Source organism: Homo sapiens, chromosome 10, assembly GCF_000001405.40.
Source record: "Homo sapiens chromosome 10, GRCh38.p14 Primary Assembly".
Classification (NCBI taxonomy): domain Eukaryota; kingdom Metazoa; phylum Chordata; class Mammalia; order Primates; family Hominidae; genus Homo; species Homo sapiens.
The window spans coordinates 129,740,985-129,765,120 of NC_000010.11; the positions used below are offsets into that span (position 1 = coordinate 129,740,985).

Here is a 24,136-nt window from a genome sequence, read left to right on the forward strand (position 1 = left end):
CTTGCATTTTCTGAGGAGCGTCTGTTGGATGCCTTTGGCCCTTGCACCACGTACAGCTTTCCACGCTTATTGGCTGGCCACTGGGTACCAAGGACCATGGCGGGCACTCTGGAATGCTCTGTTTTGGCAAACTTTCTTCCCCAAGAACAGATTTGACTTTTGAAAAGTGGTCTGAAAGTCAGCCTCCCCAGCCCTGGTCACAGCAGAAATAGTTTTGGACCCAGGTGAGTTGAGTCCACAAAATAACAGGCCGTGTCTACTTGAGCTGAAGCCTTATCAGTTGGCCCAGTAGGTCCCATCTGAAGAAGCCCTGTATTTTTGAAAAATGTTAACTCTCCCTAAAAGGTTACATTGAACGGCAACACCCGGGAGGCTGCTGTTGGCCTTGCCAGCAAGCTGAACCTGCAGTTGAGTGGCCACGCGTGTGGTGCGAGGCGTGCAGCCCATCCCTGAGGGCTCCCCTGCATGGGAAAGGAGGCTGGGAGGTTCGCCAGGACTGCATGTGGCCCTCGCACCAAGAACCTGACCCATGGTGGAGGTGGTGAGTGCTGTGTGGTCGGCCTTGATGTTTATACGAGAGTCTCTGAGGTGTAGACATCAGTGTCTCCATTTTGGGGAGAGGGAGGCGGTTTTCTTCCCAGCTTACCATTACCACTGTGTTCGAGGAGGGACTGATATTTCGAGTGGGGTCACCATCACACTCACACCACCAAGGCTGCTTTCCACCACTCAGCTTTCTCATGCATCCCGTTTCCCAGAGGTGGCCAGTGCCTGGGCCCTGAGTCGGTTGAGACTCATCCAGAGCAGAGCTGCAGAAGCTGGGCTGGCTCCAGACAGAGATGACCCAAAGCCTGTGTCAGCATTTGGGTGCCTGGGCCCACCGTCCAGGCCTGAGAGAGCATCAGTGAGGCTCGGAGCCCCCATCAGCCAGGTCAGGCCGTGGCTCTGAGCCTAGTGCTCCTTTCTAAATGGGAGTTGCAACGCCAGCTTTGCAAAGTGGTTGTCAGGGCTCACTGAGGGGCTCTGGGGAGACTTTGGGGGAAGGATAATGATTGGGGAAGTAGAAATTGGCTCCCAAAATGCTAGAGCAGGACTTAAGGGACTGATGGCCAGGCACCTGCCCAGTGTGGCATCCTCCCATCGTTGGCTCGAGCGCTGAGCTGCACCTCTGTGTCAGGACTTGCTCTCAGTGTTCTGTCTGGGGAGGTCATGTGCCTACTGGGTGGGGCAGGTCCTTGTGTGGGAGGAGCCAGAAACTCCCTTTTTTCTTAAAAGTTATTGGGCCAGAGGTCATGAATTCACCCTTAGCCTATGATCTCCAGTAACTCTACCATCCGCAGGAAAATGACTTCACACCATGCGTAGGGCTGGAAGGAGCACTGGGATGGAGTCCCACCTCGGTGCGCGACCCGGGGCGTTCAGCAGTGCCCCAGGACCGCAGCAGCCCATGCTCAGAGCCAGGTCCTCAGGGCCGGGGCATTCAGCAGTGCCCCACTACCATAGCAGCCCATGCTCAGAGCCAGGTCATCAGGGCCAGGGCATTCAGCAGTGCCCCACGGCTGCAGCGGCCCATGCTCAGAGCCAGGTCCTCAGGGCTGGGGCGTTCAGCAGTGCCCCACTACCACAGCAGCCCATGCTCAGAGCCAGGTCATCAGGGCCGGGGCATTCAGCAGTGCCCCACGGCTGCAGCGGCCCATGCTCAGAGCCAGGTCCTCAGGGCTGGGGCGTTCAGCAGTGCCCCACTACCATAGCAGCCCATGCTCAGAGCCAGGTCATCAGGGCCGGGGCATTCAGCAGTGCCTCACAACTGCAACGGCCCATGCTCAGAGCCAGGTTCTCAGGGCCGGGGCGTTCAGCAGTGCCGCACGACTGCAGTGGCCCATGCTCAGAGCCAGGTCTTCAGGGCCGGGGCATTCAGCACTGCCCCACCACCGCAGCTGCCCATGCTCAGAGCCAGGTCATCAGGGCCGGAAGATGGCAACTTGATGCTTAGCCTTCAAAGAGGTGGTAAACGATAAAAAAACGGAGCCATGCCTGGATTCAAGAGCCTCTGAAATCCTACCACCTAATCACTGTCTTCCCTAATTTCCCCTTGGCCGCTATGTGGGTGGTATATGGTGGGCTGTTGGGTGGAGCGGGGCGGGTCGTTACTGATCTATCTGGAATACCCGCTTTATCTCTACCCAGCAAACTGCTACCCATCCAAGACCCAGGCCCACCTGTCACTTCCACTCTGGCACCTCGTTCGCCATCACCTCACTCAGGAGGGTTCCACTGGTGCTTGCCGGCGAACGCCACCATTTTTTGCAGCATATCTCATAGCTTGTTGGAAACCCACGTTGAGTTGGGGCTTTGTTCATCCACAGGTGCTGTCACGCATCCGTTTTCAGGAGACAGAGATGTCCTCTGTGGCCCTCCGTTGGCCGACCCTGTTGGGTGCAGCAGCTGTCAGTGGACAGAGGTGCATCAGTGCGTTGGTTGGTGGCATCGTGGCCTCACCGGCCCACAGTTCTGACAGAGGTGTCTGTGTTTCACCAACTCAGTCTGTCCCTGCCCATTGTCCGCACACTCATTCCCTCCATGCCCCAGTCTGGCACCCTCAAGTGCAAGTGCGTGCATTTAATTCACGTAGTGTGTTGGTTGGGTGCACTCCTGGACCTTTGGGGAGACTGTCTTCTTCCATGTTAGCTGCTTCCTTCTTCCCTGTGGGGTCATAGAGGTCACAGCTGACATGCTGAAACAAATGCCATTGTTTTCACTTAAACCACATTGTATTCCATAGCCGCTGTGTCATATGCGTATATATAATAGTGTGTAAGGCGTATGGAAAGAAGAGATTGTGTCCAGACTGGCTACAGATGGTCATCCTAATGGCGGAAGCAGCCAGGCCAGTTGGGCTTGACTCTGGAGCTTTGGAGGGCCATCCTCAGTGTATTTGTTTTTATTTGTGGAGGCCCCGCAGCGCTCATGCTGGCCATGCCTGGCTGGGATGGGATGACCTGGTGAGGACAGAGGAGGACAGCCTCTGCTTCCATGATGAATAAAACAGCATCTGGCTGGGTAGGAGGAAAGCCTGTGCTTGTTCAGCCTCAAGTACGTGTTTGAAAGCTTGCCCCAAAGACATTCCAAAAACCAGGCAGTGGTGGTGTCCTGTCCTTCTAGAGGCCAGGTTGTCCAGGCCCAGGGGAGTCTTGCTTAGGGGTCAGTGAGCGCTGGGACTCAGTCTGGCTCCTGGCAAGCCCAGAGAACCCCACTGCTGAGTCTCTACACAAGGCATTGGACGGGGCTGCTGTGGGTGTGCGCCAGGCCACCTCCATGCCTGGGCAGCTGTGCACAAGCTGGCTATGAGCTCCATGGCATACAGAGCACGTCCAAACTAACCTGGTAGCCCAGTCCCATGGAAAGTGTGTGACATCGTGTCCCTGCCTTCGGAGTGAGCAAGCCACAAGCCAGATGTCAGGGGCTGTTCCTTCTGCAGGTCACCCACTGGCTGGCCAAGCACCGTGAAGCTGGGCGCACCTCCTCCAGGGACCATACTAAAGCAGCTAGCAGCACCTTCCCCCTGCTGTGAACCCCATGCCTGACCTGAGCCTGAGCCCTCACAGGCCTGGCAAAGGCTGCCTGCAGAGGCCTGGGCCACACAGGCCCTATGGCTTTCCTGCGTGCCACGGAGAGCCAGCCAGTGGGGCTGCAGGCACCTCCTCCCGCTCACTCTCAGTGTGCGCCTCCACAGGGACCACAGACCACAGGAGCTCCTGGCCCGCCACATCGCCAGCCGTGTGCGCAAGGTTTATCAGGTTCCTCTTGGCCAGGTTGAAGTAGATGCCGGGTGGGGATCTGTAGGCCCTGGTTGTGTTTACAGAAGATGCTGCCCTTCACTGTCTTCCAGCCTCCCAGGAAAGGATGGTCCCCAGGCTCCATGCTGACACCACCCACCTTGCTTCACCCAGTAGGCGCTTACTGTATGTCTACTCTAGGTCATCCACAGTGCTGAGTGTTGGGATAGAGCCCCGGGAGGTAGGTGCCTGGTCCTCCGTGAGTCTGGTGGAGGAGCCCTCCGTGGTGACAGCCTTCTGTGAGAGCATGGCAGGTGGTGGGGCCTCGTAGAGGGAAAGATTTTGCAGAAAATGTGACCTAGATTCCCTTTTAAATAGGAAATACTGGTCCCTAGTGTCTTGAACTTTGGGGAGAAAACTCCCTTTGATTAAAGAGAAGGTAACTTGGAAATGTGTTTTCCCTCATCTTTTTGTTAATTTATTTTTTAAATTAACATGTAGTGAAATTGGCTTTTTGTGGGGTATACAGTCCCGTGAATGTTAACGCGTGTGTGTGTTTCTGTAACCACCCCCAAAATCAGGGTGCAGAGGAGTTCCACCACCTGGACACCCCCACGCCGCCCCCTGGCAGCCACGGCCTCTCCCCACCCCCATTCCAGCTCTCAGCAACTGCGACGTGTTCTCCAACACCGTGGCTTTGTGTTTTTGAGAATGTCTTATAAATGGAATCAGACAGTATTTAACCTTTGGAGCCTGGCTTTTTTCACTCAGGTTAATGCCTTTGAGATTCATCCAAGTTGTTGCATGTATCTACAGCTTATTCATTTTTCTTGCTGAGTGTACGCTACCGTGTGGGTATATCTCCATTGATCTGTTTTTTATTTTGGCCATTCTAATAGATATGTAATGATATCTCATTGTTTTCATTTGCGTTTCCCCGATGGCCAGTTATGTTGAACATCTTCTTTTGTGGTTATTGACCCCTCCTTATATCCTCTTTGGGGAAGTGTCAATTCAAGTCTTTTGCCTTTTTTTTAAGTTAGGTGGTTTGTTGAGTTTCAGTTTGGAACTGTTGAGTTTGGAAAAATCTTTATATATTCTGGATAGGATAGGACTCTTGTTGGATTTCTTATTTCCAAATATTTTCTCCTAGCTAGTAGTAGCTAGTCTTTTATTCTCTTAACACTGACTTTCAGCCGGGTGCGGAAGCTCATGCCTGTAATCCCAGCACTTTGGGAGGCCAAGGGGGCGGATCATGAGGTCAGGAGATCGACTGCATCCTGGCTGACACAGTGAAACCCTGTCTCTACTAAAAAAATACAAAAAAAATTAGCCAGGCGTGGTGGCAGGCGCCTGTAGTCCCAGCTACTCAGGAGGCTGAAGCAGGAGAATGGCGTGAACCCGGGAGGCAGAGCTTGCAGTGAGCCGAGATCGCACCACTTTGCTCCAGCCTAGGGGACAGAGCGAGACTCTGTCTCAAAAAAAAAAAAAAAAACAAACAAAAAAAAACACCTGACTTTCATAGACCAAACTTTTTCACAAACAAGTTTTTTTTCCCTTTTTAATGAAGTTCAATTTATCTCTCTCTTTTTTTTATCATGATTTGAAGGACATATCTAACAACTGTTTGCCTAACCCCAGGTCATGAAGATTTGTCATATAGTTTCTTTTTTTTTTTAGTTTAATGTTTTACATTTAAATCTATGATATATTTTGAGTTAATTTGTTTAAGTAAGTCATGAGATTTACATCACGTTTCACTATTTGCCTATGGATATCCAATTTTCCAGCACCTCTTTTTGAAAATAATATGCTTTCTTCATTGAAATCCCTTTGCACCTTTGTCAATAAACATTTGGTCGTGCTTCAGTAGGTCTATTTTGGAAATCTCTCTTCTATTCTGTTAACTCCATCCAGTAACTCCATCAATACTCCAACAAGCTGGGTATTTATCCCTTTGCAAATACATAATTATTATTATGTATAGTAAGTCTTGAAACCTGTCAGTGTGATTTCTCTAACCTTTTTTGTCTCTTGTAAAATATGTTGGCTAGTCTCAATCCTTTGCCCTTTCATCTAAATTTTAGAGTCAACATGTCTATCTGCAATAAATTCTTCTAGGGTTTTTTAATTGGAATGATAATAAACCTATAGGTCAGTTTGTTAGAATTCAAATTTTATGATATTGAGATTTCCATGAACATGATATGTCTCCTCAGTTATTCAGACATTCTTGTGATTACTTTTTCAGCATTTTGTAATTTCCAACAAACAGAGCCTATATACAAATTGTTAGATTTACATCTAAGTATTTTATTTGGTTGGAGCCATTATCAGTGGTATATAGAAAGGTGATTGATTTTTATTTAGTAACCTTGTATCTAGTGACTTTGCTAAACTCACTTATTAGTTCTAAGACTTTTCTATTATTTCCTGGGTATTTTCCCATAGACAATTATGTTGTCTGCAAATAGGGAGAGTTTGTTTCTTCTTTTCTAAAACAATTGTCTTCTATTTCCTCATCTTGCTTTTTTTGCACAGTTAGGTATGATGTTAACTGTGGGTTTTTTGCAGATACAGTTGTCAGATTGAGGATGTTACCTTCTGTTCTTAGGTTGCTGAGAGCTTTTATCATGAATAGGTGTTAAATTGTATTAAATATTTTTTCTGACTGGATATAGATTATGTGTTTTTCTAGGATATTAATATGATAGCTATTGTTCGTTTTTAATAGCCTTTGTTTTTAGAATAGTTTCGGATTTACAGAAAAATTGAAAAATCAGTAGGGTTCTCTGATACTGCACACCTATTTTCCCAAATTATACCATTGATTCTTATTATGATGACATTTACACTTGACATCTTACATTAGTACGGTACATGTGTTATGATTCATGAACCATTGTTGGTACCTTAATATTAACTAAAGTCCTATGATCTTGAAGTTTTCTTAGTTTTTACCTACTGCCCTTCTTCCATTCCAGGATCCTGCCTTGGATACTGCATTCCTAGCTCCTTTGGCCCCTCTTGGCTGTGACAGGTCCTTAGTTTTAGATGGCCTAGACAGTGTTAAGGAGTACTGATTAACTATTTTGTAGAATGTTCCTCTTTTGGAATGTTTTATGCTTTTCTCATGATTTGACTGGAGTTACAGTGTGTGAGGAGAAAAACCACATAGGTAAGCTGTCATTTTCCTGAGATCGTATCAAGGAGTCATGCTGTCAGTGTCATTTATCATTGTTGATGTCAACTTTGATTACCTGGCTGGGTAGTGGTGTTTGTCAGGTGACTCTATGATAAAGTTACCTTCCCCCATCTCCCCTGCGTACTGCACTCGTCCCGAAGAAGTTGCTGTACCTAACACACTTAGGAATGGGGAGTTACGCTCCTTGAAGACAGAGTATCTACATAAGTTACTGGGAATGCTTCTGCATGGGAGAGTTCTTCTCCCTCACCTATTTCTGTATTCAGTCATTTTTTTATGTTAGTATGGACTCAGGGATATTGATATTTTGGGTTGTCTTCCAATACTACTTTATTTTGTTGCTGAGATTATCCCAGTTTTGGCCATTTGGGAGATTGTGCAGTTTGCTCCTGTGTCCCTTTGTCGTACTCTCCTCATCGTGGTTTGACTGGAATGTTTGTCTTTGTTCTTTTGCTTCATTTCATTTTGGAGTGTGTCCTGACTTTCTGATACTGCAAGATTCTCAAGGCTCATCTTGTGTATTTCCTGTCCCAGTCCTAGGGAGGAAAAGGCCAGTTCTTGAAGGAGTCTTGTGTCTTTTATTATAAAATGCATGAGAAACCATGGACTGGGCACTAGGTTTGCTCCTTGCTATGGGGGTGGTGTTGTTTCTAAGTCTTCTCAGTTGACAGACCACAGAAGTAGCTTTCTGTATACTAACCCACGGACAGATAAATATTGTAAACATTTCTGTATGCAATTATCTGTGTCTATATTAAGCTAAACATTAGTTCCTATTGATATCTGCAACTCTAATCCATTACCACATGGATTCTTCTAGCCTCCTCTCCTTACTTATCTGTAAAATCCCACTCACAATGAGAAACCTGGCTCACACTTTCTGCCATCCATTTACTTAATTATTCAAGCCCAGTATACATATAGAATAGTATCAGAGAGTTTAACACCTGTGCTCATGGGAAACAACTTTATCAACTAGAGTTCAGTATTTATGTACAGTTCCTTTTGCCTTTAGTCTTACAGACTCCACTCACTTTCAAGTTACTTTTGGAGAAATCAGCTCCCCTCCCCCATTCAGTGAGGACGTTTTATAAGTTTATAATACAGTCAGATTCTCTTGTCACAGTCTGTGTTTCTTCCCAGGATCCCCTGATCTCCTAAATATTTTGTTGTTGTTAATTTACATACATTGCTTAGATTCACTCTTTGTGCTGTAAGCTTCTATGGCCTTTGATAGATGTATGATATCATGTTTTCACCATTACAGTAACATGCAGAATAATTTTACACCCTAAAAATCCCCCTGTGCTCCACCTATTCAGTCCCCCGCTCCTTCTGAAAGTGCCCCGGCAACCACTTATCTTTTTTCTGTCTATATAGTTTTGCTTCTTCCAGAATGTCATCTAGTTGGGATCATACAGTATGTAGCCTTTTCGGCTGGCTTCCTTTGCTTAGCAATATACATTTAGTTTTCTCCGTGTCTTCTGCATAGCTCATTTTTTTCACTGAATAATATTCCATTGTATGGATGTACCATAGTTGTTTATCCGTTCACCTATCGAACAACATTTTGGTCACTTACAACTTTTGGCAGTGTTAATAAAGCTGCTATAAACATTCACAGGCAGGTTTTTGTGAGGATGTCAGTTTTCAAATCAGTAGAGTAAATACCTAGGTGTGCAATTGCCAGATCACATGGTAAGGCTCTGTCTTTGAAAGAAATTGCAAAACAGTCTTCCAAAGTGGCTTTACCATTTTGCATTCCCATCAGCAATGATTAAGCATCCTTTTTGCTCCACATCCTTGCCAGCAGTTTTTGGTACTGTCACTGTTTGGATTTTTAGCCATTCTAAAAGCCATTGTAATCATATTCATTATTTTAGTGTGCAGCTCCTAAAGACAAATTATGTTAAATATCTTTCCTTGTGCTTATTTGTCACCTATATATATTCTTTGGTGAAGTGTCTGTTAAGACTTGCCCATTTTTTAATTGGGTTGTTTGACTTTTTTCTTGTTGAATTTTAAGAGTCTTTTTATAATATATTTTAGATGCAAGTCTTTTTTCAGATATGTGTCTTACATATATCTTCTCCTAGTCTGCCTCTCGTTTTCAGAGTCTCAGCATCTTTTGTAGTAAAGAAGTTTTTAATTTTAATAAACTCCAGCTTATTCATTTTTTTCTTTCATGAATCATGTTGTATCTAAAAACTCTTCTCCCAACCTAAGGTTGCTTAGATTTTCTCCTGTGTTATATTCTGAAAGTTTATGATTTTCCCTTTTAGATTTAGGTCCATGATCCATTTTGAGTTCATTTTTGAGAAAGGTATAAAGTCTGTATCTGGATTCACTTCTTTTTCGTGTGATGTCTAATTGTTCCAGGGCCATTTGTTTAAAAGACTATGCTTTCTCCATTGAATTGCTTTTTGCTTTTTTTTGTCAAAGATCTTTGTCAAAGTCTAAATTTGGCCCTTGTATTTATGGGTTCCACATCCATGTATTCAACCAACTGCAGATAAAAAATGTTCAACAACAAGGAAAGAATGGTTGCATCTTTACTGAAAGCGTACAGACTTTTTCTCCTTGTCATTATCCTCTCAACAATACAGTATAACAGCTATTTACATAGCATTTACATTATTCTAGATATCCTAAGTAATCTAGAAATGATTTAAAGTCTACAGGAGGATGTGCAAGGGTTATATGCAAATACTATGCCATTTTATATCAGGAACTTAAGCATCCATGGATTTTGGTATTCTAGAAGGGTCCTGGAACCAATACCCAATGGATACCAAGGAATGACTGTATATCTGTGTGTGCCTGTTTCATTGACCTTTGTGTCTGTTCTTTTACCAATGCCACCCTGTCTTGATTACTGTAGTTTCATAATGTAGATTTATTTTCAAATATTGAATCAGCCTTGCTTTCCTGGGACAAACCCCACTTAATTTTGATGTCTTGTTCTTTTTATATATTGCTGGATTTGATTTGCCAATATTTTGTTGAGGATTTTTACCCTGTGTTCATAAGAGATACTGAACTGTACTCTTTTGGTTTCTGACTTTTTCTGGTTTTGATGGTGGAGTAATGCTGGTCTCATAAAACACTTTAGAAAATGTTCCTTTCTCTGGAAAAAATTATGTCAAATCAATCTTATTTTTAAAACATTTTATAGAATTCACTGGTAAAACCATCTTGGCCCTAGAGGTTTCTTTTTCAGAAGATTGTAAGCTATGAATTCAACTTCTTTAATAATTATAGGAGTATTCAGTTTCATCTTGGATAAGTTTGGTAGTTTGTAGTTTTTGATGCATTGGTCTATTCGCAGTTGTTGGATTTTAGTACACAGTTATTTGTAGGAATACCTTATTATCTCTTTAATATCTGTGGGATCTGTGGCAATATCTTCTCTTTTATTCCTGATATTGATTATTTGTTTCTTCTTTTCTGTCAGTCTTTTAGAGATTTATAAATTTTATTGATCATTTCATGGAACTCATTTTTAATTTCTTGGATTTTACTCTTATCATTTGTCTGTTTTCAATTTTGTTGATTTTCGCCTTTGCCTTTATTATTTCCTTTCTGGTTGTTTTGAGTTTATTTTTCTCTTCTTTTTCTGGTTTCTTAAGTTGGAAGTTTAGATTATTGAGACCTTTCTTTTTTAATATAGACACTTAATACTATAAATTTTCCTCTAAATATTGTTTTAGCTTTGTCCCATAAATTTTAATATGCTTTATTTTCAGTTTCATTCTGTTCAGTATACTCTTTTAATTTTCCTTCAGACTTTCTCTTTGACCTATTGATTATTTAGAAGTGATATGTTTACTGTTCAAATGTTTGGAGAATTTTCTATTATGGTTTTTGTCGATTTCTAGTCTAATTCCATTATGATCAGAGGATGTAACTTATATGATTGCAGTCATTTTGCATGTGTTAAGGTTTATGGCCCAGAAGAATATGGCATATCTTTGTCAATGTTTTATGCACACTTGAAAAGAGTATAGATTCTACTGTTATTGGGTGGAGTGTTCTGTAAATATCCATTAAATCCAATCGGTTGATAATATTTTTTATTTGTGTATCTTTGCTGATTTTCTGTCACCTAGTTCTATTGATTATTGAGAAAGAGGTGTTTAGGTCTCCACATATAATTCTAGATTTGTCTAATTTTCCTTGAATTTTTTCATGAGTTTTGAAATCTGTTGTAAGACACATATACATTTAGAATTGATGATTTCTTTTTGTGAATTGACCCTCTCACTATGTAATATTCCTTTTTACCCTCTGGGAATTTTATTTGTTCTTAAGTCTGCTTTGTCTTTTATTAATTTTTTTTTACATTTGTGTTTGCATGGTATATCTTTTTCTATCCGTTTACTTTTAACCTACCTACAGGTATCATTTGAAGTGAATTCTTTATGACGGCATTTTCTTGTGCATGTTTTTAAAAATCTATTGTGACAGTCTCTATCTTTTCCTTGGCATGGTTAGATCATTTACATTTAATGTAATTATTAATGTTTCAATTTAGGTCTAACATTTTATTGTTTGTGCCCTCTTTTTTTCCTTTTTCTTCCTTCTTTTGGGCTATTTTTAACTTGTTTTAGTGTTTTGTTTTATTTGTTGTGGTTTTTACTATATCTCTTCATATAGTTTTTCTAGTGACTGTTTTAGGGATTATAATACTTTCTTTCACAGTCTAATTAGAATCACTGTTTTACCTTTTTAAGTGGAATATAGAAATCTTATGACTATATAGATCCTTTTAGCTCTCCCATTATGTTATAATATCATGCATTATGTTTACATAAATTGAAAATCTCATTTCATATGTCATAATTTTTGCTTTTGGCTAATAAACATATCTTGAAAAACTTGAGGAAAATAGCCTGTAATAGTTTTCCATATACTTACATTTTTCTTACTCTGCCTGCATTCCTGATGTTCCAAGCTTCTTTAGAGTAAGTATATGGATAACTATAACCATCATTTCCCTTTTTTCTAAAGAATTTCCTTTAGCCATTCTAAAGATCAGATCTACTGGCACTGAATTACCTTAGATTTTCCTTTTTATCAGCAAATGTCTCTAACTCTAACTTCATTCCTGAAGGATTCTTAAACATCGGATATAGAATCCTGAGTTGTCAGGTTTTTTTCTTTCTTTCAGCACTTCAAAAGTGCTGTTTTACTTCCTCTGGACTCAGTAGTTTCTGATGAGAATTCCACATTCAAATGACTGTTGCCTTGTACATAATGCATTGTTTGTTTCTAGTGGCTTTCAAGACTTTCTCTGAAGCTTTCAGCAGTTTGATCATGATTTATCTGGGAATGGATTTCTTTGAATGTGTCCTGTTTGCAGTTTTTTGGGCATCTTAAATCTACAGTTGTGTATCTTTTGCCAAATTTGACAAAATTTTAGCTATCGTTTATTTGAATTTTTTCCCGTACTACACTTTTTTTCCTCTTTTTCTGTAACTCCAGTGACATAAATAGATCTGTTGACCTTGTCTCACGTGTTCTCTTTTTGTCTATTTTAAATACTTTTTTTTCTGTTGTTTGGATGATTTTTTGTTAACTTGGCTTCAGTTTTATTGACTCTTTTCTCGGCATCTCCATTCTACTATTGATCCTATGCAGTACAGTTTTTAATTTTGGTTATTGTATTTTTCAACACTAAATTTTCTACTTTATTATTCTTGATAGCTTCTATTTGTGTTTTTTCATTTGTTTCAAGAGTGTCTTCCCTTGCAGCATTTTTATAACAGATCTCTTAAACTTTTTGTCAGATGATTTCAACTTTTGGGTCATCTCAGCCTTGGCATGAGTTGATTTTTTCCCTGGTGAGTTTATTTTTCTGATTATTTGCATGCTTGGTAATTTTGGATTGTATCCTGGTCATTTTGAATATTATGAGACTCTGGGTTTTATATAAATCCTACAGATAATGTTGATATTTTTGTTTTAGGAGGTAGTCAACCTGGTTGGATTTAGTTAGTTCATAAGTTCTGACCAGCCTTCAATATTTGTTCAATTTTCAAACCCTTTTCCGTCCTCTTAACATCAGTTCTTTTGTGCACCACTCACCAGCCAGTTTGGGAACTGGCAGTGCCGAATTCTTACAGCAGTTCTCAAAGTCTGTGGTTTAGGGTCAGATACACATGTGCATAGGCGGGGAAGTAGACAGCTCACCCGAACAGGTGAGTCCAGAAATCTATCAACAGCTTTTTGGTTTGCTTCCATGAACTCCTTTTCCTCCACAATCTTTTTGGCACTTTTTAGTTCTCAGGGCTCCCTCCTCAGTCCCCTGGACAGACAGCTGGGGCTTTTCCCCACTCCGCTAAACTCTTCCTATTACTAAACCTCAATCTGGGTCCAAGCATTAGGAAGACAGAGGTAAAGAGCAAAGACATTTCGCCCACCTCTTAGGGGGAGCACACCTCTTCCCATCAGAAAGGGACCATCTCCCCCTCACTGGTTTGGGCTCCTGCGGCCCCTGTTGTCCCCCACACCACAGGATTGCTTAGGGAGGAGCTGACGTTCAAGGGCTCAGAGATAACACCAAAAAGGGATGATTCCTCACTCGCCCTGAACATAGTTGTCTCAGCCCATTTTCTGCTGCTATAACAACACTGCCATCTAGGTAATTGATAAAGAATAGGAATTTATTGGGCTCACAGCTCTGGAGGCTGAGAAGTCCAAGAGCATGACGCCGGCATCTGCTGAGGGCCACCCCGTGGTGGAAGGCATTCCATGGCGAGGAAGCATGCCAGACAGGAGAAAAGGGGCCAGAGTCCCTCAGTAACCAATTCCAGCAGTAACAGCATTCATCCATTCCTGAGGGAGGGGCCCTCATGACCTAATCACATCTTAACACTGTCACAGTGGCAGTTGTTTCCAACACAGGAACACATTGAAACCTTAGCAGCAGGTGATGCTTTTCCTTCCTCAAAGTGGATTAGAGCCGAGCCCCTAGGGGGCTCCCCAGCTGTGCCAGGCTTTGCCTCCAGGGCTCAGGCTGTAGTAAGTTCGGGCTGAGGACAACAGAGGGATAACCCAGGAAGCCCATTCATCTTTTCCATGGTACTTGAAATTCTTATCTTCTTTCCAAGGCTGCCAACTACTACTGACTCTTCTCAGCCCTCACGTAGCTGCTCTGTGCCTTCTGCCCAGGTTTTATAAAGACATTCAGTAGAAGAAACAAGTATAGAGTGCTTGCTTCATTTTACCTGGAACCAGAATCCCCCTTTCCCTCCATTTGTGTTTCAGGTTAGTTTATTCTGGCTGCTTTTGATGGCCAGGGAGCATTAGGTCAAATAGCTGTGACTTGTGCCAGGGACACCAGCTCCTGGGGATTCCCCTTCCAGGCCAGTGGCTGCTGCACAGGGATGTCCTGCAGGAGCTGAGGACCTGCTCTTTCTTGCTCTCTGTTGCTCTTTGTTGGCCATGGCCACAGCACAGCTACTGAGATGCTCTGCAAGCATGACCCGGCAGGTAGCACCTGTGTGTATGGGCCTGAGTATGCCCCTGCTAGCTGCAGCCTGGCTAAGGAAAAGTCCCAAAGCCTGGGCTGCTGAAGGATGCCCCTTCCCCCCAGGAAGCCACACGGACCTTGACAGGTCACCACCCATGGAGCTGTGATGGTTGAGGGAAAGGAGACTCCTCCTCAAGAACTTGGAAGCACAATGGCCTGCCTCCCAGGAAAGAGAGCCTCAGTGCTTGTCGGAGCCCTGATCTCAGAGAGGGCCAGCTGCCTGGCCAGCTCTGCTGTTGCCTGTGCTCTGAGCCTGGCCGTGTGCAGTGGACGCACAGGTGTGTTTGCTGAGGTGGCTCGTAGCAGATTATCACCGAGGAGAGATGGACACCCAGGATAAGGAAGTGATGAGTCTGAGCACAGCGGTGGCAGAGCCAGGCTGGTCCCGGTCTGTGTCCTCCTGCCGTGCTCTGGTGTGTGTTGTCTTCCTTATTGGAGCTGGGTTTGGCTGAGTTGGTCCAGGTTCAGGTGTCAGGCCTGCTCAGAGCCTTGAGCTCCACTCCATGGCGTGGCATGAAAACACCTCGCATAAAAACCCAGTGTCTGTGACACAAAACGATTTCTCCCGTGACCAGCATGAGAAAAGGGCATCCAGACCCTTGGCGGAGGATGCACAATGCAGGCAGAGGGTTTAGAAAACAGTCTTCTCTGGGTGAGGCAGTTATGGTGCACACATTTAAATAGCTGCCCAAGCCGAAATGAAAATAGCCATGTCCTTCAGATGCAGAGACTCCAAGATGCAGGTCCTCTCCCTTGACCCCAGCCACAGAAGCCCAGCCCAAGGTACCCAGCACCACAGGACAGGCAGGAGGAAGGGCGAGTGTGGGAAGGAGACAAGGGAAGTGGAGGGGTAAGAGAGGAACATCCAGAATGTGGCGTTCGGAGGCCGCGTCACAGAGCCCCAAGGTCTCGGGGCTGCCCTCTGGGGAGGCCCATGGTGAAAGAGAGAAGGCTGCTGGGGTTTTTTTTGTTTTGTTTTTTGTTTTTTGAGACGGAGTCTCGCTCTGTCGCCCAGGCTGGAGCGCAGTGGCACAATCTCAGATCACTGCAACCTCTGCCTCCCGGGTTCAAGTGATTCTTCTGCCTCACCCTCCCGAGTAGCTGGGACTGCAGACGAGCACCACCACGCCTGGCTAATTTTTTTATTTTTAGTAGAGATGGGGTTTCACCATATTGGCTAGGATGGTCTTGAACTCCTGACCTCGTGATCCGCCCGCCTCGGCCTCCCAAAGTGCTGGGATTACAGGCGTGAGCCACCGCGCCTGGACCAGAAGGCTGCTGTTTTAATGGTTGCCCCTTTGGGCCACCTGAAGTGATTGTTCCAGCTGCTGAGGACTGATGTGGTCACCTCAACCTCAAGAACTTCTATTTTCCACATGAGTTAATGTCTATGAGTGGATTTCACTCCATTATAGAATATGATGCTTAACAGCAAGGATTGCCCTTCTTCAAGAACGGGTGTCATTCAGCCATGTGATTCTGCACAGGCTAGGGTTCGAAGCACTGTGCTCTTTGAGAGCTGCTTCAACTAATTACTGCATTCGTTCGCTGCAGGGTGAAACAGAGTTTTCAGATACATTTGTAAAATCAGGTGCCTGATTGCTAAATACTACATTGTTTGAGCTATACTTCCTCATATGTTGCCTGGTACGGACCAGTTAAGAAATGGTTTCCCATGAGAAACTGACAATGAAGCTGAACATGTTTGATAAACTCTGTGCTCATCTATGGACATATAATTGTTTTATTATACGATACTTTTACACTTGGAAAGAAAGGTGCTCCGTAATTTGGCAGCAATTTGTCAGAGCAGCACTCAAGGCTGGCGCTCAGATGAGGCCCTTGGAACCATGCCATTGTTTCTCGGAACTGCTCTGTGCTCCGGTTAGGTTTGCACACACCTCCCTCGTTTCATTCCTACAAGTTTAGTAAAGTTCCAGGCCGTTCTCCCAGAACACCTAACGGAAAGCACAGAAAACAAAACCACCAACTCTGTGTTCGCCGAGGAAGGCAGGAAATTGGCCTCTGCTTCTTGCGGTATTGACGTGCTGCTTTCATTGTTTCTTTTCCAAGACAGCTGTCCCCGAAATCTCTTTACCTCCAAGTCAACAGCAGGCTACCTTGCTTTGCTTTGCTTTTTTTTAAAGTTAGGCATAACAACAACAGCAACCATGATAATGATTAACAGTTTGATTTCAAAACGTTTTCTGAAGAAATGACAGTAAACAGTGCATTTGCCCAGGGAAATCCACCACCCCGCCAGCCATCAGCCGGTAATACAACTGCATGTGCTAATGAACCCAAAGCTGTTAATGTGGTTTCTTCAGTTAAATTGATTCATGAATTTTGAAGAGAACATTATCTAATGAATTTTCTTTGAATAGAAAGCAATTAAAAGGACAAATCAGTCTGATTAACCCCAAAGTCACCCTCCTGCCACAAATGGTGTACAGTTTGAAATTATATCATAAAAAACTAGAGCACATTTGCTATCTTTTTGCCCTCTACTAATCCATGTAAATTAATGAACAACAAAGTTAATTTCTTTGATGACCCTTTTCTAGTATCACCTGGATTATGCTGATGTTTAATTTGCTTAATGTTATAATAAAGACTAAACAGATTTTTTTCCCAGTGAAGTGATTATCGTTCCCTTCAGTTAAGAAGTGATTTTTATTATTTAACACACATGTAAGGGTGTGTTTCCTTTAAGAACCAAATCACACTTTGCCAGCTTGGCACCAAGTGTAATTAGTGTTCTTGTGGACACACTCAGAACATCGTTCCTGCCCGCGGAAGCCTTCCCTTTGTTGCTGCTATTCAGAAACTCCTGCCCCTGGAGGGGCTGGAGCCCCTGCGATGGAGGACATGGCTCTGTCTCCAGTGCTCCTGAGCTGCATGTCCCCCTTGGAAAGACAATAGGTACTGATTCAGACAGGCCTTCTTCGCGTGCCCCAGTTTCTCTCCCACCGACACCACTCCCAGGTAACAGTTCTGAAACCTGGAGGCAGAGGGAGAGAATGTTCTCCTGCAGTCACCTCCTCATTCCTGCAGCAGGATGCGGCACAAATGCAGTTGGATGTGGTTAGTCAATTAAAATGGGAATCAAGTCATTTTATTTTTGCAGCCCTATTCACTAAAGATGCCTGTAACCAAGGTCACCGCCAGCCCCTGCGTACTGTGGTGCTTGGCACTCCGAGCAGTAGCTGGGGGAATCCTGCACGCGGCTGGAGGTGGACAGCCGGCATAATATCGCAGCCTGGCCTGTGGCTGCTTTTGCCTTCTTTGTCCCAGTTGAAGTTGGAAATTAACCAGCAGTACAAAAGATTTCCAAGCAGGCGGGCAGGCAGGGACTTCTGTGTGTATTAATTGAGCCATGAGCTCACTTACACACGCCCAGTCGCTAGAAGAGTGGCACACGCAACCCCACGCGGAACACGGGAAGATGGAAAGAAATTGCAAACCTGTGGTGCCAGCTCCAAGGATGCCTTCCAAGGGGCCAGCCTGCATGGTGGCCTGCCACATGCTTGCGTCTCCTCGCCTGGTGACATGGTGGCAGCAGTGCATGGAGGCCGTGTTTTAATTGAGTATAATACCTCTATTTGTGTAGATGCGTTTCCTGTTTTGGGACTAGTGGCTATTTATATCAGAGCTGCTGAAGCCGTTTGTCCAAATAACATTATCCTGCATTCTTCCTTTCAGAGTCGTTCACCAGACAGGTGTTATGGAAGCTGCTGAAGGTTGTGAAATTCGGAGAAGTGATTTCTTACCAGCAATTAGCAGCCCTGGCAGGCAACCCCAAAGCCGCGCGAGCAGTGGGAGGAGCAATGAGAGGCAATCCTGTGAGTTCTCATGGCGCAAGCATGGCTGTGGGTGGCGGGTGCGTGCAGGTGGCAGGGTGTCATCTGATCCCACGTGTTTCCTCGGAAGGCAGGCTGTGCTGCTGGGGTGGGCAGAGGGGCGATATCTGTGATGGGGACCATTATGCCAGATGCCTCCAGAAGAGGCAAGGAGGCTACCCCAGCACTACACTCCTGGAAGCTCCCCCCTACCGGGAGCACATCTCCACTGCATGAGCTCCTGGTTGTCACAGTGAGCAGGAGAGGAGGGAGCCTGGAGGAGTGGCAAGCGGGCAGAGGGTGCCCCACCTGCTCACTCAGGAGGTGGACGTGTTGGGTGCCTGTTTTATGGCCCACACTCTTCTAGGTGCCCAGAGTACAGCAGCTAACAGACAGAAAGGTCTACCTGCGAGGTGCCTGCATCCTAGCAGGATGGCCAAGCAAGGGTGCACATCCAACCCCATCTCTCTGTGGGCTGCACTCCCCCTGAGGCCCAGGGCTCCCTGGGTCCCAAGAGCTAAAGCACCACACGTGAGCACACGAGGCAGGAGGCCTTGCAGCATGGGACAAGGGACCTAGACCACACGCACCTCGTGTCTCACCAGGGATGGCGCCCTCCCCAGAGCCCTTCTGTGTCCTCGTCCTTCCCATGCGTCTGCAGTCAGATTTCACTAAACTCCAGGCTCCCAGGCTATGCAGCCTCAGGCCATGCTCCCCAGAGGACAAGGCCCAACCGGGACACAGCATGGGTGGGGCAGCGTGGCCTGTGGTGCCTGGGGGCCACGTGGGTGCCGTTGCTCTCCCATCTCACAGCACCCAGGCCTGGCAGCTGGGCCGCGGGCCATCTGGCATCTGGCATGAGGTGGTAAGTCACAGCATGCCATGTGCGCCCGGCCAAGGCCACACGTGCCTGTGTGTGTGGGGGCAGAAAGGGTGCCCCGTCTGCGTGGCCCATTGGGAGAACCCACACAACCTCAAGAATGCCCCTGGAATATTCACCCAGTGATGGTGTGTGGTCACGTTGGCAGTGTCTTCTCCCGAAAGCTCTGTGAAAGTTTCTAGCATGATGGAAGCATACCATCTGATCAGGGAGCACAAATATGATCACTCCATCATGGGATGGGAAATTACTAAATCAGATAGACCTCACTTTTTGAAAAATTGCTGTGGCTTTACTGTCTATTTCCAAAACTACTTATATCCCTGCTCACAGGGGAGAGGCCGGCGTGTTCATACCACAGCCTGCTGCTCCTGCTGCCCGCTGCAGCAGCCTGGGGGCAGAGCCTCCGTTTCTAGGAGATGACAGTTACGTAGGCTTTTGCACAAAACTGCATTGTTAGTCCTTAAAAAGCAACTCTGGTAGGTTTGTAGTGGATTGCATTGTCGTAATGTACACCCTAATCTAGGCGAGCTTTCTACCCTATTAAAATATCCCAAATATCCCAGGAGTGAGATACCACAGGGACAGCCACCATCCCCACCTCCTCCATCTCTTCCTGTCCTCAGTTTTGGTGACAGTGGCTGGTGGGCGCAATTGACCCTTCCTTTTGCACCTGTTGCACATTAATTGCAATGTCTTCAGCTACATTGTCATAAAACATCTGCACCACGCAGTAGGGATCTGATTTTTACGGCGCGTTGGGGGATATTTCCGAATCAAATTTCTGAGGATGGTTTTTGACATTTCCCAATAAAACTTAACCTACATGCCCCTCTGGAAGGCTGCTGTCTTCTCCCCGGTTGTGAGTCAATTTTGAGGTGTTCAACCTGATGAAAAGGCAGCTCAGATGCTGTTGTGTTGTGGCTCCGTGTAGGGCCCATGAGAACTGTGGATGCGAATGGGGTTTTGGGGGTGCTCTTCCTGCATCAGTGCAGTGACTGTTTCAGGCAGTGTCTACTCTTTGTGCCCCCCGAGGAGAGTAAGTCCTTGTCTTCTCCCCACTGAGGTGGATTCTGCTCCCTCCGTGCACACACATGAAGATGGGAGTGGCCCCGTCAGCGGGCGCCGACTGCTCGCTCCCTTGTGTGTGCAGCTCCCCTTTTGCTGTAAGGACAAGCTCCACTAACTGACATGTGCAGCGTGGCAGCACCCTCCCCCACCAGCCTTTGGTGATGCCAGCAGTTTCTCACTCTGCAGTGGAGATGCCGTCGCTGGTTAGCAATCCTGCTTGTGGCGATATTCGGAGACATTTATTGTTCTGCAAACCAGCGTGACTCTCTTCTCCTGCTATTAATCTCTATGAGTGTCTCTGTTCCAGTATGGCCTCAGTCACTGAAATGTATAAAGTAGTATCACATGGGATGTAAAACCCTAATGTCTGTAAAGTCCACACATCGGCACCCTGTCCCATGGCAAAGCCAAGACTGGAGGTGAGCACAGCATCAGGCAGGAGGGTTCTACAGGCACCAAGTCTCGCCCTTCTCGGCGTCCACATGCCTCCTGTGCCGAGGGCAGCCAGGCGGTGGTGGCTTCTCGTGGCCTTTCTGTGGGCTCCACCGTGTGCAGTGACCTTCAGCCTGAGGAGGGGGCTGCAGCAGGACCTGTGGCTACGGTACCCACAGACGCCTCAAATTATAGCACAGATATGCCAGAGATATTCCTGCAAGAAGCCTTCAGCTACGTAGTTTACTATGGTTCAGGTTGACAGCCTCCCAAGTTCCCATTAGAAACCTCATTAGAATGGGCTAGGAGGATGAAAAGGTGACCCAGGGACTTGCTAGAGGAAGGGCGCTGGCCAGCAGTGAGCCATTGCTGCTGTCAGTGTCCTCAGGAATGTTTCCCTTTGGCGCTGACAGCAGTGTCCCAGCCGGAAGGCTGCGCACATCCACTCCAGCCCAGACGGTGCGTCGCTGAGACTCGCTCATTGAAAACATCCCTTATATTCAGGATGAATAGAGTGATTGTGCATTTAAGGGAGGAGAGTGAAAAATGGACTTGGAATGTTAGAAAACATCGTAAAGCTCATTGTGCATTAATTCCTTAGGTGGCTTGCAATAAACAGGAGCACGTGCTGGTTCATATTACTGCATTTGCTGTCGGCATGAGTTTCTCTTCCCCAACCGGAGTAAGGGATGGCTTTTGCCATGCGGAGCTTTCCTCTATCCTAGGAGCTTGATTTCTCCAGAATCCTCCAGGAAGGACTCACCAGCCGGTGTAAGGTGGTTGGTCAGCATTCCTGGAAGGCTGTCTCCCCAACTCAGCGGGAGAGGATGGTCAGTTTCCCAGTATATTGAGTAGAAAACTCCTCACGACCCACCCCCTCCACAAAGCACCCTTCCTCTTCATCCTCAGACAGAATTTGCTAAATGCAGTTCAAAGGCAATCGATACATTGCACAGAGAGTCTCCCCACCTTTTTCTGAACAAATGCATTCCTGAGGAGTTAGTTTATTCACGGATTGCCATGAGCGTTAATGACCCCCCGAGGCTTGTTCTGCCCGTCACCCGGATGGCTGCTGATAAAGACTTAGCATCATGTTCTAAGTGTCAAGGTTGTCAGTGGAGCTGAACCATTTGACCAGAAGAAAAAAACGCACAGGGAGCTATTGATTACAGCTTCTCGGTGTCACTTGTTCACCAGGATTTAGGTATTGATGAGGCTGCGAGTGAAAACAAGCTCTTTCCCTTGTGGGCTGCTGCCCAGAAGAACAAAGGCGAAGTTGGAAAAAATATTCAGCCGGTACCAGAATCAGAGGGATTCCATCATTGACTGAAAGGCCCCTTCATGTTATTTTTGTTGGAAACAAATCTATGGGTTTGGAAGTTTTATAGCGTTTGAGAAAGGGGCTGCATAAGTGATGGATTCACGTATTGGATGAATTAGATTTCACAGCATGAAGATTTCAATGCAGCTGTGATATTATGAGCTTCTTGGTTATTGATAAAAATTACATTTTATGCAGCACATGCTTTAAAGGAGAGGGCATAGAGGGTACAGATCCTTTGAAAATGTCCTTAGGGCCCCAATAAATTTCAGCAGGTTTCATTATCTTAATAGTCTGAAACCTGCCACCAAAATTCACACAAACAGAAGCAGCGTTCCCTATTTCTAACGGTAAAAATAGTGCCTATTTGGTAAGTCACCTCTTCCCCATCACAGCATGCTAAGGTGAGGACCGGTCACAGCTGTCGGGGTCATTGTTATTCCGTGCCATCTGTCCTGGCCTCTGCATTGATGTACAGGAAGAGGGAGAGGGAGACATGTTTATTTTACTCATTTTTATAATTTCATAGCTCATTGAGAGGGAGAGAAGAAAAACCAAAGCTCTGCTGTGAAATCTGCTATTAGGTAGGAAAATTGAATTGGTGCCTAAATGTTTATAAAACTAGATTGAATTAAATGCCTACCTCTTTATCAGTCAAAAACGTGAATTGTGTATTATCTAATAATGCCCTCACAGCAATTATTAATGGGACTGTTGTATTTGATAAAAATCATCAATCAGGGTAAATATTCCATCCTGGAGATTTCCTGTGACTCCTTCTGGAAGACTGGGATTCTCAGCTGTTCCAGAACTTGGCAGTTACTACACCTCACTCTAGTAAACTCAATGTTAAAAACAGTCAGCCCTCCGCCACCTGCATGTTCCCATGTCATAGTCGTCAGAAGCCTCTTAGACTGCGTCATTGGTGCACGTTACCAAACTCATCGTCAAATTAGGATGAGCTGTGTGATGTGCCGGAAGCCAGAGTCCCACCTTGCAGCCATGTCATCTGCTGGCACCGGCTGTCACCCCACAAGGTCCCACCTCAACAGTCCACGTCAAGGAGGAGAAGTGTGGTGCGTGGAGCCATGCAGGAGAGTGGTTAGAGCCCCTTCTTTGCCACTTAACAGCTTTATGAACTTGGGCACGAGACTCCATTCGGCCGGAGGCTGAGACAGGCCTGGTGGGGCCTTGCGGGGTGATGGGGGCCATAGATGGGGTCGAAGATGCAGCAGCATCAGGCATGGGCACACCCGCTCCCAGGGGCTTTAAGCACCTTTTCCAAGGGGGGCTGGGGCTTCCCCCACCTCCCTCGGGGACGTGTGTAGCTGGGCCCCACAGAGGGCCACACCCACCAGGTGAAATCTGTGGCAGGTACATGTGTGGCAGTGACACAAGCTGCCTGCACCAAAAGCCTCAGGGGATGCAAAAGTAGCAGTCACCTCCCCAGGAAGCAGAGGTGCCCAAGAAATAGAGCTTGGAGATGCTGGGCACACGCCCCCAGCTGCTTCCTCTAAAAGCTCACCTGACCAGTAGCTGGTTGCTTTGTCCAGTTCACTGGCTTTGGAGGGTGGAGCGTGGGGAAGCTGGGCATGGGCAGAAATCATTTCTCTGTTGAGCTGGGGATACGCTCAGCTGGAGAGAAAAAGAAGAGTGGAGTCGGAGTGATACCCGGGGGTACCCGGAGTGATACCCGGAGGTAGCCTGGACACGCCCCAACCTTGGGATCCTGCAGAAACAGCTGTTTGTTCTCATCAGGGCAGGATGCTGGGAGCAGGGCAGCCATGTGTGAGGGCCCAGGGAGAGGCCCCGGGTCTGCAGCATCCGTGTCTGGGCCATCTAGGTTGCGGGGATGAATGTGCTGCCCTCCAGCTCAGGAGGAAGGGAGGAAGGGGGGCCAGGCAGTAAGCGATCGTTAGGCATCTCCCATGTGCCTTCTACGTGTCGTGCCAGCTGAGAACCTTCCAGAGCGAGCTTGGTGCCCTTCCCCATTCTTCTGGAGCCTGCCCTGGCTCCTGTGGTCATGCTCATTGGCAGTTTACCTTCTTCACGGAGCAGCCACTGTGATGCTTTGCACG

General features: G+C 46.1%; 1 protein-coding gene across 1 annotated transcript in view, besides 3 other annotated features; it reads left to right on the forward strand.

The window, feature by feature from the left end:
• MGMT (O-6-methylguanine-DNA methyltransferase) overlaps positions 1 to 24,136 on the forward strand; it is a 303,743-nt gene that overhangs the window by 273,744 nt on the left and 5,863 nt on the right. The window contains exon 4 of the mRNA NM_002412.5: positions 18,218 to 18,357. Coding sequence (NP_002403.3) covers positions 18,218 to 18,357 — 140 coding nt within the window. The remainder of the gene's footprint in view (positions 1 to 18,217; positions 18,358 to 24,136) is intronic.
• Positions 3,141 to 3,642: an enhancer, noted in NCBI's record as "H3K4me1 hESC enhancer chr10:131542389-131542890 (GRCh37/hg19 assembly coordinates)". NCBI's record gives its function as "activates a minimal SCP1, AML or CMV promoter by ChIP-STARR-seq in naive H9 embryonic stem cells {active_cell/tissue: H9 hESC(naive)}" and the evidence as "EXISTENCE:reporter gene assay evidence [ECO:0000049][PMID:30033119]".
• Positions 3,643 to 4,142: an enhancer, noted in NCBI's record as "H3K4me1 hESC enhancer chr10:131542891-131543390 (GRCh37/hg19 assembly coordinates)". NCBI's record gives its function as "activates a minimal SCP1, AML or CMV promoter by ChIP-STARR-seq in naive H9 embryonic stem cells {active_cell/tissue: H9 hESC(naive)}" and the evidence as "EXISTENCE:reporter gene assay evidence [ECO:0000049][PMID:30033119]".
• Positions 20,774 to 21,346: an enhancer, noted in NCBI's record as "H3K4me1 hESC enhancer chr10:131560022-131560594 (GRCh37/hg19 assembly coordinates)". NCBI's record gives its function as "activates a minimal SCP1, AML or CMV promoter by ChIP-STARR-seq in naive H9 embryonic stem cells {active_cell/tissue: H9 hESC(naive)}" and the evidence as "EXISTENCE:reporter gene assay evidence [ECO:0000049][PMID:30033119]".